The sequence below is a fragment of the Homo sapiens genome, chromosome 12 (genome assembly GCF_000001405.40).
Source record: "Homo sapiens chromosome 12, GRCh38.p14 Primary Assembly".
Classification (NCBI taxonomy): Eukaryota; Metazoa; Chordata; class Mammalia; order Primates; family Hominidae; genus Homo; species Homo sapiens.
This window is the reverse complement of record NC_000012.12, coordinates 74,323,081-74,342,389: the sequence shown is the minus strand read 5'-3', so window position 1 is coordinate 74,342,389 and position 19,309 is coordinate 74,323,081. Positions and strand designations below refer to the sequence as shown.

Here is a 19,309-nt window from a genome sequence, read left to right as displayed (position 1 = left end):
TTATTTACAATAGGATGGATACACTTCTATATATTTATAAAATGGAAGGCTTTACAGTGAAGAAGTTAATCAAACCAAAGCTAAATTCAACACCATGGATTCATTTTTTAAAAAAATATTGAGCCAAAGAAGCACACTAAAAAAATGTATTTAGTATGATGTTTTTTGATTAAAAATACATAAAGAGGAAAAACTCTGCTCTATTATGATGCACATATGGGAGGTAAAACTATAAAGGAAATTACAAAAGTGAATACAATAAGAGTCAAGACAATGTTAACCTCAAGGGGTTAGGAAGGAAATGTGATTATGAAGGGATATAGGGTTGATGGGAATGTTTTCTAACTTAACCTGGATGTTGGTTGCATAAATGGTCAATGCATGATTTTCCATTTTAATGTACATTTATGTAATGTTGACATCTCTGACATATTTCATAATAAATATTTTTAAAGGTACCAGCAACTCATATACCTGATAAACTGAATGCAAATACTATGAATGAGCATTAGCATTGCTTAGCTAATAAACAAAAGTTCAAGGAGCAAAAAAGCTCAATTTTGTGCCATTGTAACAACTGCAAATAAGGAGTATGTAATGAATCAGATTTTATTGTTAAACCAGAAACATTCTTATGCTAAAATCAGCTTAACATAAACAAAAGTTGATTCAGTTTGTTCAAGACTTCAGAGGGAAAGCATAAAGTGACAAAATTGTTTTCACTATAAATAGGTTAAGTAAAGATTGTGGGGTTTTGTTGTTGCTGTTGTTTTTGTTGTTGTTTTGAGATGGAGTTTCGCTCTTGTTGCCCAGGATGGAGTGATGGAGTGCAGGGGCGTGACCTCAGCTCACTGCAACCTTCACCTCCCAGGTTCAAGTGATTCTCCTGCCTCTGCCTCCCGAATAGCTGGGATTACAGGTATGCACTACTACACTGGGCTAAGTTTTGTATTTTCAGTAGAGATGGGGTTTCACCACTTGGCCAGGCTGGTCTCGAACTTCTGACCTCAAGCAATCCTCCCGCCTTAGGCTCCCAAAGTGGTGGGATTACAGGCCTGAACCACAGGGCCCAGCCTTGGCTTGTGGTTCTTTTACTAAATATGGAATAGCGATAAAGCTTATGTATCATATTTGTAAAAGAAAGCTAGGCACATGAAGCAGAATTAATTCATGAGGGAAAATATTTATTTTACTCTCAAGTCTCCCGAAAGTTATTGTATTCATTTAAACTCAATTTCTAATTTTTTTAGTTACCCAAATACTATTGCATTAAATGCATTAAAGAGAGCATTGTACCTAGCAGATATGTGAGAAACAGTTTGACTTTTTAACCACTAAAAAATGTCCAAATATCAGAATTTATTTTATTTTAAATTTCAAAAAAATCCTTATTTTATATGATAAAAATCAAGTTGATTTGTAAGTCATATATATCAGCTTATTATCAAGAACTATTGCTATGTAAAAGAACTTAGGACTGTGTAATTAGAACTATGTAATAGAAATATTTACAGAAGACTATATCTGCCAACATGAGATACTCTACCACCATAACTTATATCAATGACTCTTGTTCTATCATCGTGTGCATTATAAATAGTGCAAAATTTCAAGAAATTTCCATTTTGAGATATAAGAAATCAATATGCTGGGAAAACTAATATCAAACTCTGAAGTAGATATATTTCATTTTATATATATTTTAAATGACCTTTAACTAAAGGTTAAATTGGATTGACACACTGAAGATAAATTTTTTTATTATTATCATCATTAAATTATTATTTTGTGACTATTACTATTCAACTAACACTACATCTGATAATATAATGATAAACACATTCCTTTTTTATATTAACTAGCATTTTTTTCGAGTTTCTTAAAGCTTTGTTTGCAACTCTGGATGATTTATGTGGGACATGATAAAACCAATCTCCACACAGGCTAATTTGAGACCTGGCATCATTGTCTCTCTCTGAACAATCTGGAAGCTTTTTTATGGTAGTGAATTGCTCATTTGGGGTGCGAGGATTGAAGCAGGCAAGTGTCTGGGTCATTATGTGCTCAGCCATGTCTTACATAGGTGTTTGGATTTGTATAGCACTGGTTAATCTGTAATGTGTTTTAATTTAGAGACATAAATTCTGGCCAGAATTCTATGCTTTAATTAAATAGTGTCAAGGGATTGATCGCAGCATATTGATCCATAACTGAACATTTTATCCATGAAGTCACAGGTCCAGTGAGGTAAGTTACATTTTTAATTCCATTCTGATTATAGTCTATTATCAGGACAATGTATAATTTGCATGTTTTTCATTTGAGAGTAATGATACATAGCCATTGATAAGCCATGTTCCTCTTCCTTTCACCCCATTAAGCTACAAGTTTGGATAAACAAGTGTACTTAATTTCAATTTCATATATTGTTTGATGGCACCCCTGAGAATAAAGAGGCAGGTTTCATAAGACAATGGGCTAACTTAAAATCAGTTTTTGGATACTGTTTCATACAAACTGAATACACTTAACTAGAAAATGATATCTCTACTTTTTCCTTTCAAAGATAATGACACTCCTTTTTTCCCCCTCAGTCATCATTGCCTAGAATACCCTACTTCAAACAATGAAACTCACTTTCAATCTATCATCATCTTTCACTCTTCAGTGAAACCCCATGTAGCTTCCAGATGTGGTTTCAGGATTTCTCTATATTGTTGGAGAGGTAAGCATTGACATTGAGCCTTTTCACTTTTTACTTTCTGTGTACATTTCAATGGAGCCTGTGCCAATGTTACATCTTTTGTTCCTATTTAAGCAGTAGTCATATGCTTTTGTACCTTTTGTGGTGTGAGAAAAATGTTAGGAAACATTTAGGACTAACATAAAAAAAGTATTAGAGAATCCTGACTCAAAGCCTGTGACACATTGATAAGTAGTATTTTCAAATTTAAGACATGGAGTTATGCTGACATCAGCCAAGGGACTCAAAGAATTGCCAGCAGCCACCAGAAGCTAGGAGAGAACTTGGAACAGATTTTCCCTCTGAGCTCCCAAGAAAGAACCAACACTGTAAACGTTTTAATTTGGGGCTCTGAAATCCTGAACTGTGAGAGAATGAATTTTTCTTGTTGTAAGCCACCCACATTGTGGTACATTGTTATGGCAGCCCGAGGAAACTAATATAAACCCCAAACAAAACAAACTAAACAAGAAAAACCTGGCTCTAATTACATATTGAGAGACAGTCTCAATGTAGATCCATTTGAACGGATTTTCAAAGGTAATCTATTTGGGTAATACTATTTACATGAAATTATGTTTGACGTTAGCATCTAACTCATGTTGATTAGTAGAGCCTGTTCTTTACTTTTGAAAGACTAATCTCATGGTTGTAATATTGATAGTTGAATTTATATAATAACTGTGTAACATTTTATACACTTTTATATGTAGGCAATAGAGAGTAGCGGTTAAATGCTGGGGTTTCTGAGTTAAGAAAGACCCAACTATTCAGACCCAGCTCCTATATAACTGCCACCTGTGGCCACAGGTAAATTATCATGTTAGCCTAAACCTCGGTTTCTCTCAAGGAAGCCAATATTAGATACTAAGCTGTTATGCTGTTCTAACGTTTAAATGAGATAATTTTCACTGGAACGTAAGTTACAGATGGACAAGGTCTATTATTTTTTTCACCACTGGAATCACATAGAAGGGGTTCTCTAAACACTCATTTAGTGGATATGAATGAATAAATAATGTCTAGAAGAGAAAATACCTGGCATATTGTAAATGCTCAAAAAATATTAGATATTAATGTTCTTCAGAAAAAAATAGATCAGATTTGTTTATTTTGGACTTTTCTAAAGAGTCAAGATGAACTATGGATTTTTTTTTCCTTTTTGAAACATGCTTTCTCTCATTTTTTTACAATTTGCTTATTGTATACACCATTGTTCAATTTCATACAACTCTCCATACAAAATAAGGAGGTTTATATATTGTTTGATAGATTTGGTGCTGCATGAATAAATCAGTGGCTAGAAAATATTGCATACTTTTGAAATGCATTAGAACTTTTATATAAGTAAGGTGTCGTTTATCACATCAATTTAGTAAATTATGGAAGTATGGCTTAGTGACCAATAACATATTAATTTTCAAGAATAGTTCATCTCATCTGGTCTGTTTAGGGACAAGAGATAGCACCTCAGCCATTGTACAGAACTATGTCATTGTCCATCCAGGGCTCACAGAGAAAGTATGAATGACTCAGACTGAATCATATCCTCTGTTCAAAAGGCAGTTTAAAACAAACATTATACATTTTATGAATCAATCACTTAGTGTTGTATTCAAATGTGAATTGTAACCAAAATGTGTCTATATAAAAAGGTTTTAATTAGAGAAAAATGCCCTGAATATAAGAGTTCCAAAAGTTGTTTGATGGAAATTTAGACCCTTAAATTCATCATCATTGTCATTTTTTTCCATTTCTTTCATATACATACACCTAGAGCAATAGATAACATACATTATTAATACATTCAATTTAACAAATAGAGTCAACTTTTCATATACGTAGATTCCACCAAGTGTGAATCAAAACTATTTTTTAAAATTGTGTCCATATTAAACATGTAGAGACATTTTTCCATGTTATCATTCCCTGAATGATACAGCATAAAAACGATTTACATATTATTTACATTATATTAGGCATTTTGAGTAATTTAGAGATGACAAAGTGTACAGGAGGATGTATATAGTCAGCTATAAATACTACACTATTTTATATCAGAAACTGGAGCATCTGCAGATTTTGGTCCTAGAACCAATCCCGAAGCATGACTATATTTATGTGACATGAGGATAGAAACCAGGAAGATGATTATAAAAAGATTTGTTTCTTACAACTACTTTAGATTTTTTAAATTGAGATAAACTATATGTACATAAATGACCACCTTTAATAATAAATACATTTATATTTTCCCCCATTGATCCTCACCTCCTTGGCATCTCCTGGTAACCACCAATCAACTCTCTATCTTTATTAGCTCCACTTTTTAAACTTCCATATATGAGTAAGAACATTTGATATTTGTGTTTTTGTTCTTGGCTTATTTTATTTAACATAATGACTCTCAGCTAATTGCATTTTGCTGCAAATGACAGGATTTCATTCTTTTTTATGACTGAATACTATTCCATTATGTAAACCTACCACATTTTCCTTCTCCACTCATCTGTTGATAGTCACTTATGTCAATTCCTTATTTTGGCTATTGTGAATAGTGCTGCAATAAACATGAGAGTGCAGATATCTCTTGGATATATTGTCTTTTATTTCTTTTGGATACACTGCAGGTTTTTAACCATTAAAAGTGACATGGCCAAATTTTTTAAAATCCTGATAATATCAAATATTGACAACATACACACCAGGCTTTATAAAACCAGAGGCAAAAAGAGCAATTAGGAAGTTATTGGGACAAGACAAGAAAGAGCTAAGTAGCACTACAGCTAAAAGAGTGGCTGCAAGTAGAAATGAAAAATCAAAAAAACATATTTAGGAAGAAAAAAGCAACATGATGGAATGATTGATAAAATACCAGAACAGAAAGAGAGTAGGGTACAGGAATATGTAGAGGTAGGAGTAAGAGAAAGGTAGTGGAAAGACTGTAGCCTTAATCTCAGGTTTTTAGTGAGATGGATAAGATATTAGCCAGGTGGAAGGACAATTATATATGTGTTTTTGAAATTTAAAGAAACAGTCTAGGCCAGATGGAGTGATGTGAGAGTGTGTAGTCTTGACCTTGTGTGAGAATTCAGCCAGACAAAATGCATTGAGTGATAGAGGAAGAATTTAATAATGAAATAATGTAGAATACCAAGTGAGAATCTTTTTTGAAGAGATAAAATATACTGGTACACTTTCAAGGAATCAGTACATTTAGCTAACATCTTCTGAGAAATGATAATACAGAGCTTTTGTTTTCTACTCTAATTTCTTCAAAATATATCGCTGGAGACTACATTCTGTAGTTCCTAAAGGAGAGCTCGAGCAGACCTGTAACTCTGCTGCTCTATTTCCTATATAACAAATATTTTCCTGTAATAAGAGTTAATTGTAAACAGTTCCCATAAGAGTATAAGAATGTTCAGGGAAAGATATTAAATTATTAAACAGAATTGGAGTTAAACTTAATTTAACCCAACCCGTGTCTCCTTATCCAGCTGGGCTTGTGGCAAGCTGAAAGGCAGAATGGGAAAAGCAGGGAAGTGGTGTGTTTCTCTTCTACCTTTGTCTGGAACTTGTCTTTGTCTTTAATTTTCAGCAGTTTAACTCTGAAAGGTCTATGTGTAGGTTCTTTGTATATGTTCTTATGGGTTTACGGGTCTTTTCTCATAAGTAGGTTAATATTCTCATAAGTTTTTAGAAATTCCGAAGTATTATCAGTTCAGAGATTGTATCTTCCTGACTCCCTCTGTCCTATTTTTCAGAGATTTTAATTGGAAATATTCAAAGCTTTCATTACTCATTTTTCTTTTAGGAACTTTTTCTAATAACATTTATAATTTTTATCATTTTATAATTTTTGTTTATGCTTTAGGTTGCCTATTTTCTACTGAATTGTTTTCCTGTTCACTGATCCTGTCTTCTACTGTGCCTCATCTTTCTTCAACTGATACTTTGAAATGTTAACATCATTTTACTCTATTCGTTATAAGTTTAATCTTCTTATTTTCTGTAAATTCGATGAAAACTCTGCTCTACTTCTTAGAGGACTTAAACTTGGCCCTTTAGTCTCCTTCCCTAAGAATATTCAGATTTCAGCAACTGTGTTAAGGGAGCATGTGTTTGGGGCTTCTCCTATTTCCAATTTTGTCTCTCAGTGGCCCTTTTCAGGGAAAAGTTCATATCATAGTCTTATGTTCACATGTGAAAAATTCAAATTCGCTTAGGGAAAATTCAATATCAGATTAAGACATCACTTTTCTGTGGGTTTTCACCCTTTGTAATATTTATCTTGTTAGTCCAAGGCATTTTAATAGTTTTCTGAAACCTTGAAATATGTACTTATTTTTTTCTTATTTAATATAACTTCTCTAGTTTTTTTTTTCAAGGAAATTTTGGTCTTCCATAAGTCATTCTATCTCACCCATCAGTGAAATTCGCAACAGGTTCTTTCGTGGAAATATTATATTCATTATGGGCCCCTCCTACTGGAGTTCTCTTGTCTCCAAAAAATGCCTCTCCATTTTTGAAGACTACTTGCAAAATCAAGTCACTTCTCACTCAGGAGTCACTCTAGTTGTAGATGCTGAGTCTCTCCCATCTTCCTGGCATTCTCATGTATTGAAATTTGAGATGATACTATAATAGGTTTGTTTACCTTGTAGCTTTTGTTTGTTTCACAGGAAGTACTTAGACATTGCTGGCACCAGCAATGAAGGAGATTAGGAAAGACTTGCCATAGTTGTGGTTAGAAATAGGAGAAGATGCTAAATTGGAATACATAAGAGGATAGCCAAATGGTAATTAAGAGTCCATCTGAAGTTGTAGACCATAATTTGGTCTCAGTTTTAATGGAAGTATATTCCTCAAATAATCACTGTAAACATAAAAATGACAAAACTATTTTACTAAAACTAATCTTGGCATTAATTATTAAAAACCAGCTTGGAGAGTATATCATAGCCATTATGACTGAGTAACCATCACATATTCCCTGTGAAATAGGTATTCTAAGTCAATCAGTCTAAGTCATGATGATGTTTTCAACTTTGTCAGTGCTTAGTTTGGAGATGGACAAGTTTGACAAATTTGGACCATGAAATGCAACTAAATATTTGCTTTGGACTTTTTATAAAGTTAATCCAGTCTTTTCCATTTGATGTGAACAAGGATGCTGGGTATCACAATTTCTGCTAACAGACATCTCATGTTTATGAGGAGAACTGACCTTATGATGACTGTAATCTTCAGTGGCAGAGAAAGGGCACAGAAATAAACTTAGCCCTTCATAACATCTTTTAGAAGCCAAATCAAACATTCCAGGAGACTGGCCTAAATCTGGACTACCTACTGTGTGGGTTCATACATTTTATTTTTAAATGCTATTTAAGATGTAGTTTCCATTTTTCATATGTAAAATAATTAAATGAGATGCAGAATAGGTACCTGGAAATATTCTTTAGATATATTTTAAAACATAAAGGACAAAAGTTTAAAAATTTTGGAAGAAAGAGGTTTAATTATTAAAGATTGGATCAAAATTATGTTTATATATGTTAATTATATTTACATGTAATCATTATTATTTAATCACTTTATCTGTAAATTTTGAGCTCCTCCCAAACTGAAAATTCCAAAGGAGCTACGAGAATTATTAGATCTGTGGACTTCAAAGCATCTGAGTATAAAATGAAAGACTCAATTGTACAAGTTCACATTTGACTAAAGGTAAAGCTTATGATATATATAAATCATGAAAATGGTGGAATCGAACCAATCCTACAAATTAAAGCATTTTAAACATTCAGAAAATATATCTCATAATGTGGTAAAAGGCATGCACTTGCTTCTTTCCTAGTTTTAGCATTGCTATCTAGCAGAAATTCACCAAATAAAGCATTTAGTCTGACTATATTGCTTTGAATCATTGCAATGACTCTGGATTTTATAAATGAATTACAAATTATAGGAGAGGTTTTACATTCTAACTGTGTTTTACTTTTTTTCTCTCTCTTGACTTATAAGAAATCTTCCTAGCATACCTCATTACATTATTCACAGAGTACATTAATCTCACCACTTTTAAAAATAAACACCTGCCAGACTTCTCACACTGATTGTAGCTGAAGAAACTTTTCTGAAATTGTCCTTTTAAACATCTGTTATTCCTGGGGATAATTAGAAGAAAGGAAAATTGAACATGAAACTAAATTCAGTTTTTGTATTTTAATACAACAATGAGTACTCTAACATAAGTGTCCTTTAGGTCATTCTTAAATATATGCTAAAAATTATACTGGAGTATGTTATTTAGAAGCCAAATTCTTCATTCTTCCTAAATATGTGCATGGGCTAGAAACACATTAATTAATTTCAGAACCCATTATAATGTTATTTGCTTAGTGAATGGAAAGGTGGAATCTCACATAAACACAGTTTTACCAATCAAAAAAATAGCATTAATACAATTTCTTCCAAAATCATATGATGCTCTTACATTCTGGGAAATCATTCAGGCTTGACAGCAAGAAAACACTTTTAAATTGGAAAAGACTTTAGTTATCAAAGTTTTCTCTCAGTTTTTATTTTTTTTTTAACTTCTTTGGTCAGTAATGTTCCACTCAAGTACACTCTTCATAGCTTTTGAACACCATTCCCCATGTACTTATTTCCCACTTGAGTGCTATCTAGAAGAAAATGTTAATCTACCTTCACCTATAAAAAATAATTATTTCTTCCTGATTGATATAAATTATTAGACTGAGCTACATGAAATTGCCAGCCTTCAACCATTTTGATCTACAAATCCAGCTTGATGGTACAAGCTAATATTATCAAAAAATTGAGAATTTCTTCATATCAGAAAAAGGTACTCTAACACAATCAATAATAAAAATTAGTTTTGATTTGTAATATTTCTGAGATTGTAATTTCCTTGGATTTCAATTTATCTGCTATATAGTATGAATAACATTATTTTTGCCTAATATTACTTCCCCTATTGCTAATTTCAGGGATAATTTTATTCTGCTTTCTTAGAAAAATAGAATTACAGGAATAAAGGGTCTAAATATAGGGATTTCAGTTTACATGTATCTGGCAGAAACTGGGGGAGCAAAAATAGGTAAACTAGAGCTAAAGGACTGGAAAGAGTCTCTAATGCTGTCAGCTGAAGCATAGGCTGAGGCAGGTAGGAAGGAAACCACCAACCCCAGGGACTTTTGACAAGCCTTCTTCTCTTTTTCCCAGAACTGAAAGTCATAGAGGACACCAAGCATCACGCCTGACCAGCAATGGAACAGCCCTACCTTAATGTTTATCACTTCGCTTCCACTTTCCTAATTTCACTCAAGTTTCTATTACTGAGAAACTCAAACTTGTACTAAAACAAAGAAGAGGATTCCAAGGAAAGTATGTCCTTTAAGTGATCATTCAAAGACTTTTGTCTCCAAGAAAATATCATTTTTTCCAGAGAACCTAATGATATAAGCTTAACTCTGAGATACATCACACCCATGATTACGCAAACACACATACACAGATGCACAAACTCAACTCAAAGATCTTGCCAATAAAACTAAGTGAAAAAGCTTTTCCTGTATCTTTAGAACATATTGACACTTTGTGGCCCACAGGCATAATTAGTAAGGTAATTGGTAGGAGTTAGAGTGCAAATCAGCCCTAATAACAACATTCCTTTCATACTCTGAAAGAAAGATGATCTGCTTAATCAGATCCTATGTGAATAATGAATCTCACATCTGCCTGGTCACTTCTGAGGCCCTCTGCTCCTATTAGAGGATTAGTCAAGTACTCATGTGTTAAAGCTGCTACCCACTAGACCTCCAAGTCACCTAATAATCATTAATATAAGTAAATACTAATGGCTATGAAACTAGAGGAAAAACATTTTACCCCATGTGAAATCTCTTTCCAAAGAGACAACAAGCTCTTATTTTCGAAATATTTAGGCAAAATTATTGTACCAATCAGTTTTACCATTTGGATAAAACTACTTTCAATTTGGAATTTTCTGATGTTTTCTTCATGATTAGATTGGGATAATATATATTCGAATACAATATTAAAAAATAAGGTTTAAGACTGTCACTCAATTGGGTTATAATTATTATTTATTTTTGCTATTTAGTTGTAGGAGTTCCTTATATATTTTGGATATTACCTCTTTATCAGATATATCTTTTGCAAATATTTCATCTCATCCTGTAGGTTGTCTTTCCATTCTGTTGTTTGCTTTGCTGTGCAGAAGCTTTTTAGTTTGAGATAGTTCCCTTGTCTATTTTTGCTTTCATTGCTTGTGCCTTTGGTGTTTTATCCAATAAATCATTTCCAAGGACAATGTCAAGATTTTTCAATGTTTTCTTCTGGAAGTTTGATTGTTTCTAGTCTTAGCTTTAAGTCTTTAATCCATTTAGAGTTGATTTTTGTGTAGGATGTAAGATAAGGGTTCAATTTCTTTATTTTGCATGTGGATATCTAGTTTTCCCAACATCATTTGATGAACAAACCATCATTTCCCCATTGTCATTCTTGGCACACTTATCTAAGTTAACCGTATAGAAGTGGTTTAATTTCTGGGCTCTCTATTGTGTTCCAGTGATCTATATGTCTGTTTAATGCCAGTAATATACTGTCACAATTACTGTAGCTTTGTGACAAGTAACCACATTAAAAATGGGCAAAGGAACTGAATAGACATTCCTCCAAAGAAGAAATATAAATTACCAAATGGGATTCTTAGTCAGCATCACTAATAGTGCACAAGATCACTAATATCAACAAAATGTAAATCAAAACCACAATGAAATATCACCTCATACATATTAAGCTGGCTATTATAAAAAAGCACAAATGTTGATGAGGATGTGAAGAAAGGGTATCTTTATATACTGTTGGTGAAAATATAAATTGGTGAAGTCATTATGAAAAACAGTATAGAGTTTCATGAAAAAATTAATAATAGAACTACCATATGATATAACAGTTTCACTTCTGGGTATTTATCCAAAGGAACTGACTTCATTATTTTGAAGAGATATTTGCACTCCCATGTTTATTGCAGTATTATTCACAACCTAAATATCCATCAACAGATGAGTGGATAAATAAAATATGGCATATACATAGTATATGTATATGGAATAGTATTTAGCCTTGAAAAAGAAGAAAATTCTACCATTTGTGACAACATGGATGAATCTTGGAAACATTAGGCTAAGTGAAACAAGTCAGACACAGAAAAACAAATACTACATGCTACCATTATATAACAAATCTAAAAATAGTTAAACTTACAGAAACAGAGAGTTAAATAGCAGTTGCCAGGAACTGGAGGAAAGGAGAAACAGAAGTTTTTGTCAAAAGATATGGAGTTTCAGTTACGTAAGGTGAAGAAATCCTAGAGAATTACTGTACAATGTACTCCTATTGGTAACAATACTGTATTGTATATTTAAAAATTTACTAAGAAGGCAGATCTTATGCCAAATGTTCTTATCACACACACAAAAAAACTAATAAACAAGAAAGCAGGAGGAAACCTTTCGAGGTGATGGATAGGTTTATGGCATAGATTGTGGTGATGGTTTCATGGATATATACAAACTCATCAAGCAGTATACATTAAACATGTATGGTTTATTGTATGGTAATCATAGCTAAATAAAGTGGTTTAAAATTTGTCAATAAAAATGACTTTAATCTAGGAAACAAAAGTAAATAAAGAACTAGTAGATTCAATAATATCAAATATAGAGTCTAAATAGCAGATTATCAAATAATTTTATAATCTCAATCCATAATAATGAAGGCATTTTACATTGTGCCTCAGTAAATACATATATTACTGAAAAAAAATCAGGTAATTTTTTTTTTAAATATTGCTTGTAATCTGTGAAACTTATTTTTCAATTCTGCTATGACTCGCAATTTTAATAAACTAGTCTAATTTAGTCCATATCGCAGATGAAATCAAATAGTCCTTTCTCCCCTCTACAGCTTTGGAGAGCATTTGATTGAATAACCTCAAAGATAGAGAGGGAAACTGAGACATAATATTTGGACAGAAGATATAATCTTTATCATAATAATGTCTTGTAACAATTTATTTACATGGGCTGGAAACACTAAAGGCTAAGTATGAAAAAAATAAATACATATTTTTGTAATTTTCATAATGGCCATTACAGTTAAATTAGATGAATCAAGAATAAAGAAGTTAATTGCATGGATAAAGGTTGTAAAGTAAGTTAGTAGTAAAGAGGGGAATAAAAACCAAGCATCTGTCCCCCTCAGTCAGTTTTACATACGTCCTACAAATAGTAGATTTAGCAGTAAATTGCATTCTCTCTAACGCTTCTTATTACCTAGGGTTGCTTTTCACTATAAAAGAGAAAATGAATGTAGAAAATTCAAAGCTATGTACAAATGATTTTGGTTCTCAATTTCACTTCTCCATTGAATATAAAATTTTCAAGTACCATGTAAAAATGTCCTCTGTTTCAAGTGACTAGCATTATAGCAGTCCCCATGGCACATTCACACACTTGAACTGAAAGGTAATGTTACAGAGATCATTTCCAAATGGAGATAAAAATAAGAGAAGAATCCTTCATCTTAAGTCCCATTTGGAAATATGGCTCAAAAGCATGTTTGCTTATTACTTCTGTTTGCTTAAAGAGGTGGACACATGTCTAGGGAGCAGTTTCAGAAAGGGCAAATCTGTCAGGGATCTATCAAGTGACTAGAGTATGGTCTAGGCATGTGAGGAATTCTAATATAGGTATTTGGAGAATCTTATGAATTCAGTTCTTGTTTAGGAGCCTAAAGAGTAATTCATTAGCAACATTTTTTATTGCCATAAGAAAGATGCGGGGCCAGTTCCCAGCGTCAGTTGCTACCTCTTCAGGCTATTTGGCAAACATTGTGTAGTAGATGTTGCCTGAAAACAAAGTTAGAGGCCAAAAAATATGACATGTGGCTCACCAACAATTCTCCTAGCCAAGAAATAAGCAGCATGTTAATGGGCCCTCAGATATTAGCTATCCATGATGTGTTGCACTGTTATGGTGCATGTGTATGCATGAAGAAGAAGGGATAAAGTAAATGCAGGAAATAGATGGGCACAAATGCCCTTCGAACTTGACCAGCTCTATATAAACATTAGGGTGATTTACCTTATCTAAATGCATATGAAAAATGATTATAGCCATTTTAAGTCACTAAATTATTGACTCTATTCAAAGGAATAAAGTCCTAATATAAAACAAATTGTTTTGTTTACTTTTGCTTACCTAATTTTAATAGGATTTTTGTTTTGCTTATTACAGTTTCTTATTTTAAACCTACAATGACAGTAACTTCACTTGTGACTCACTGCTCCTTCTAATGGTGATAACTTTTTAATTACTCAACATATCTCTTGGTGGCACTTTTTCACATTAAAACAAGTTTGATAGAAGAAAGTCAGAACTGGAGTATTTAAATGAATTTGAATTATAGCTATTAACACTATAAAAGTCCAGGGAGAAAACAGCACAAAAGGATAAAGGAAATTTTTGATAAGGGATGATAAGCATTCTGACCCATGGTTAACATTGTGCTGAAGTAAGTGGTTTATAAACTTGATTCAATTAACTGATAAAGGGACACACAAAGTTTAGTGCAAAACTTTTCAGTAAATATGTATTTATGCAATGGTTTACTAATTAAAGGATCCATAGTTTTCATAATATTTAAAAGCAATCTCAAGTGGATTTGTGATCAAAAGTACTAAAAAATCCCTACTCCCTCCAAAGAGTAGGGAGTAAAGCCTCATAACGATCTTGCCAAACCTTAAAAAAAAACTAGATAATATATACTTTATACAAAATGTTTAAGATAATTAAAAAGGAAAGAAATATATTCAACTTATTTTGGGTGCCAGTTTACACTTGATATTATAACTGGACAACATAAAGATAAAATGATAATTATAGACCACTTCTTTGGATTCAACATGTAAAATGAAAATGAAAATTTTCTGCATAGAACTCAACAGCACGTAAGTCAATCTAACACTAATGACTGTTAATAGGTAAAAGGTGAAATCTCAGAGACTTAACACAATAGAGACTTTTTTTTCTTACTCAGATAAAGGTAGTGATAGGGAGGGAAGGCTGAGTGTTATGCATCAAGCAGTCATCAAAGGACCCAGTTAGCTTCTTCCAAGGTCATAGGGGTTGTGACTTCCAGCCAACAAATGGGAGAAAAAATATAATTCAGTAGGGAGAAAGGAAAGACCGTTTAGTGGATGGTGCTACAATAATTGTTTATTAATATCAAAAAATAAAATGAAATCAAATACCTACATATTACCTATAGCACATTTAGTTACTATGAGAATATTGATATTTGAATTAGAATCCAGCTTCTTAAGGCCTGGATAAGGAAATTAAATCAAAGAATCACTTCCACTGTATTTTACTGGTCAAGCTGTCACAGAACCCAGAATGTCTAAAATAAAAATATATGATGAAAATAAATCATTTTGACAATTATAAAATGTTTATAATACATTTTATGTAGTAATGCATTTGCTTTCTAAAAGCAATTAATCAACAGATCTAGTGCCAGCTGCAATAACTTTCATAACTTCAAAGTAGTGATTAGTGTAAATATTTTGAGATTTCTGAATCAACTGTTTTGTGACATAAAATTATCTACTGTTTCTATTAGTAACAAAGTAGTAACAGGTGCTCTTAATTGTACTCTTTTTTTGCCTATATACTTAGTTAAAAGAATTACTAAATTTCATTAAAAGTTTATAGAAAATATTTTTTCCTATGCAGGTACTTTGTAGTTATGTATTCATGGATATTAAGTTATAAGCCCCTGCTGAATCCTGGTTTTTATTTGCCACCTATTGCTTTCATGTCGTTGAAAGGTTCATTGTTTATCGTTTTGTTTTTTTCTTTCTTTTCCTTCTTTGACCACTGCAATTACATCCTTCAACAGATTATCTTTTTGCTGTATAGTTGCAATCTAAGTTTGAGTCTAAGCTATGTTTACTGTCTTGGAAACTAGTAATAATTGCTCATTGGGGATATCATTTTATCAAGGAACTTTCAGAGAGATAGAGAAAATAATCTTCAGGCAGAGAAGATAGCCAACCCAATTCTGCTAAATAACAACTCAGCTACATAACAAATACTTAATAATGGTTACGATTAAGTGACTTTTGAGGATAAGTTATTTGCAACTAGATTTTATTTTTTCCCTGTTCTAGAATGCACCATGGCCTTTATTCTGTGTCCTAGGAAATGAGAAGGTTGTAGCTATAAATCTATTTTTTAAAAAATTTCTATAAGATATTGGGTGTAAAACATTGCTAATTTGGTGTCTCTCTAACAGTGAACAAAATAGGACAAACAAGCATTCTGAAAACATAAACAGAACATACCTTTGTCTCAAAGCATTTAGGGCTCAAGAGAAATCATTGCTGCTTTAGCGCCTGGAGAAGAGCTACAGCTCAGGTGTTCAATAGAAGAGATGCACACAGGCATCTATGTTGTCAGCAAGCTAGCACTATCAAAGCATCTGGAGACAACAATAGGAGTCAAGGATACCATCTCTAGCACAGATCCCCGGTAAGCAGGCCTTTTTAGGAAGTCCTAGTTGCAGTGCAAGTTTTCGAGGAACCTCATCAGAGAGCTGCAGCAGAGATCTTCAACATGACCAGATCACCCCATCTCACTTAGCTCTCCCACTAACAACTTTATCTATTATTTGCCTTGTTCTCCCCATTATATTTTTCATTGTCAGAAGTCACCATGTCTTTTTATTTTAATTTTCTATTGTTTATCTCTCTTGGCTATAATGTAACTTTTGGTCAAGAAGAAATCTTATTTGTCTGTTCGTTGCTTTAACTGTGGTCCTCAAAAAGCCCAATTAATATTTATCAAAATAATGAAAGGATGAATGAGCATTATCTATTCTTTCTTCACTCTTGCATGGGAATAGCTGTCCCTGGGTTCACCAATAGTCTTCATGTTACTAAATCCAAAGGATCGTATCAACAGCATTTGACAAAATTGAACTCTCCTTTTTTTCTTAAAACAATCTGCATTATCAACTTCCGTGCACTCCAGTCTTCTAATTCTCATTTTCTCCTTTCCTTCTCAGTCTCCTCTACTGCTTCTGCCTCAAACTGACTTCTATCCGGGTCTTTTAGAACTCTTTCCTGAGTTCACAACTGTTCACGTTCTAAATGCACCGTAGACAACATATTCTTATTCATACAAAGACTATTTGTTTGTCTCCTAAATACGTATTTCTATGTGTCTGTATACTAGACCACACTTCTCTGTCTCATGGATATATACAACTATATCTTTGATATATGCACTTTTTTTCAAAAGTGTATAATATATGCTTGGTCAGGTGCAGTGACTCATGCCTGTAATCCCAACAGTTTGGGAGGTCGTGGTGGGTGGATCACTAGAGGTCAGGAGTTAGAGACCAGCCAGCCAACATGGTGAAACCCCATCTCTACTAAAAATACAAAAATTAACCGGGCATAGTGGTGCATGCCTGTAATCCCAGCTAGTCAGGAGGCTGAGGCAGGAGAATTGCTTGAACCTGGGAGGGCCGGAGGTTGTGGTGCACTAAGATGGCACCACTGCACTCCAGCCTTGGCGACAGAGCCAGACTGTGTCTCGGAGGGGGGAAAAAGAGGGTATAATGTGTGCTAAACTAAACTCTTAATTTTTGAGACCCCAGATTTGTGAATGCTAGTGTTTTATCATTGCAAGAAATAGTTCCACCATCCAATTCATCATACAAAATTTACACATTGTGCAACAGATAATTTGTGACACCTTCTCCTTTCTCATACCCATCAAACCACTAAAAGAACCTGTCTTGTCATTTCTGAGTCTAAACATTTATTCATTTTTTTGTGTTTTTTTGTTTGTTTAATTAATTAATTAATTAATTAATTAATTTTTTGAGACAGAGTCTCGCTCTGTCGCCCAGGCTGGAGTGCAATGGCATGATCTTGGCTCACTGCAACGTTGGCCTCTCAGGTTGAAGCAATTCTCCTGCCTCAGCCTCCCGAGTACCTGGGACTACAGGCATGTGCCGCCATGCCCGGCTAATTTTTTGTATTTTTGGTAGAGATGGGATTTCACCATGTTAGGCAGGCTGGTCTCAAACTCCTGACCTCAGATGATCTGCGTGCCTCTCCCTCCCAAAATTCTGGGATTATAGTTATGAGCCACTATGCCCGGCCCATTTATTCATTTCTTACAATGTCCACAGACATTAGCATGGTTCAAGATTGGACTGTTATAATTTCTTTTTTTCTTCTATTTTATGTCCCACTATTGTCTTCTTCTAATCTATTATCCGTTTGCAGTCTGTAAAATTTTCATGTACTCTTTCAAATCCTTTAATAGTTTTCTATTGTTCTTAGTCCTTAATATACCTGAAATGTCATGCCAAATCTGGCCCCTGTTAAGAACTTTTGTCTACCTAACAGCTCTATTTGGGTATCTCACACTGTTTGAATTCATCAACTTTTTTCCAAAAGTGTTTATTAACCACTGTTTTTTGTTGTTGTTGTTGTTGTTTTTGACATGGAGTCTGACTCTGTGAGCCCAGCCTTAACCACTATTTCTGATTTCACTTAATGCCTAGTGACTCAGTCTAGATTCCTAAAAGTAACTGCTGATTATTTTCTGTTATTCAGCCCATGCCCTAATCAATCACCAAGTTCTTTATGTATTTGATTTTTAAGTTTTATTTAAAAAATTTTAATTTTAATTTATACATAATAATTGTACATATTTATGGGATACAATGTGATGTTTCTATAAATGTGTAATGATAAAATCACCATAATTAGCATATCCATCACTACAAACATCTATCATTTCTTTGTAGTCAGAACATTCAAAATGTCTTCTAGCTATTTTGAAATATACAATAAATTATTGTTAACGATAGTCACCCTACTCTGCAATAGGACACCAAAGTTTATTCTTATCTAACTGTAACTTTATACCCACTTATATTTTTACCTGAAAGTATCCTTAAATATTTCAACTATTTGTATTTTGCTTCTTATAACAAGTAACAATTTTGATACTCCTATATTAAAACTAGATTTTCTTATGCAATTAAAAATAATTATGTAGTAATATTCTTAGGAATAGTATATTTCAATATTATGCAATACGGAGTATTTAGGTTGTTAATAGTATTATGTTAAACTGTGCTGCACTGAAGTTACTAATTTGTTTACTTCTCCAATTATTGTATTGTTTAAATTTCTGTGATAATGGATCTAAATATATGCATGGGTTGAAATATACACATTACCCTCAAGAAGAATTGTACTAATTTATGTCTCAAAAAACAATGTACAAAAATGCTCACACCAAAGCCAACATAAGTGACATTACTTAAGGTGACACATTGTGGTCGTTTTAAAAAAATGAATTTATTCATTACATTGATGTTTAAAAAATGAATTTATTTATTACAGTGAGCTTACATTACAAA

General features: G+C 33.0%; 1 long non-coding RNA gene across 1 annotated transcript in view; it reads left to right on the top strand.

The window, feature by feature from the left end:
* Positions 1–1,054: 1,054 nt before the first annotated feature.
* The window catches only part of LOC107987178 (uncharacterized), a 34,970-nt gene continuing 16,715 nt past the window's right edge, over positions 1,055–19,309 (top strand). Inside the window, exon 1 of the long non-coding RNA XR_001749203.3 lies at positions 1,055–2,725. This is a non-coding gene — a long non-coding RNA (uncharacterized LOC107987178). The remainder of the gene's footprint in view (positions 2,726–19,309) is intronic.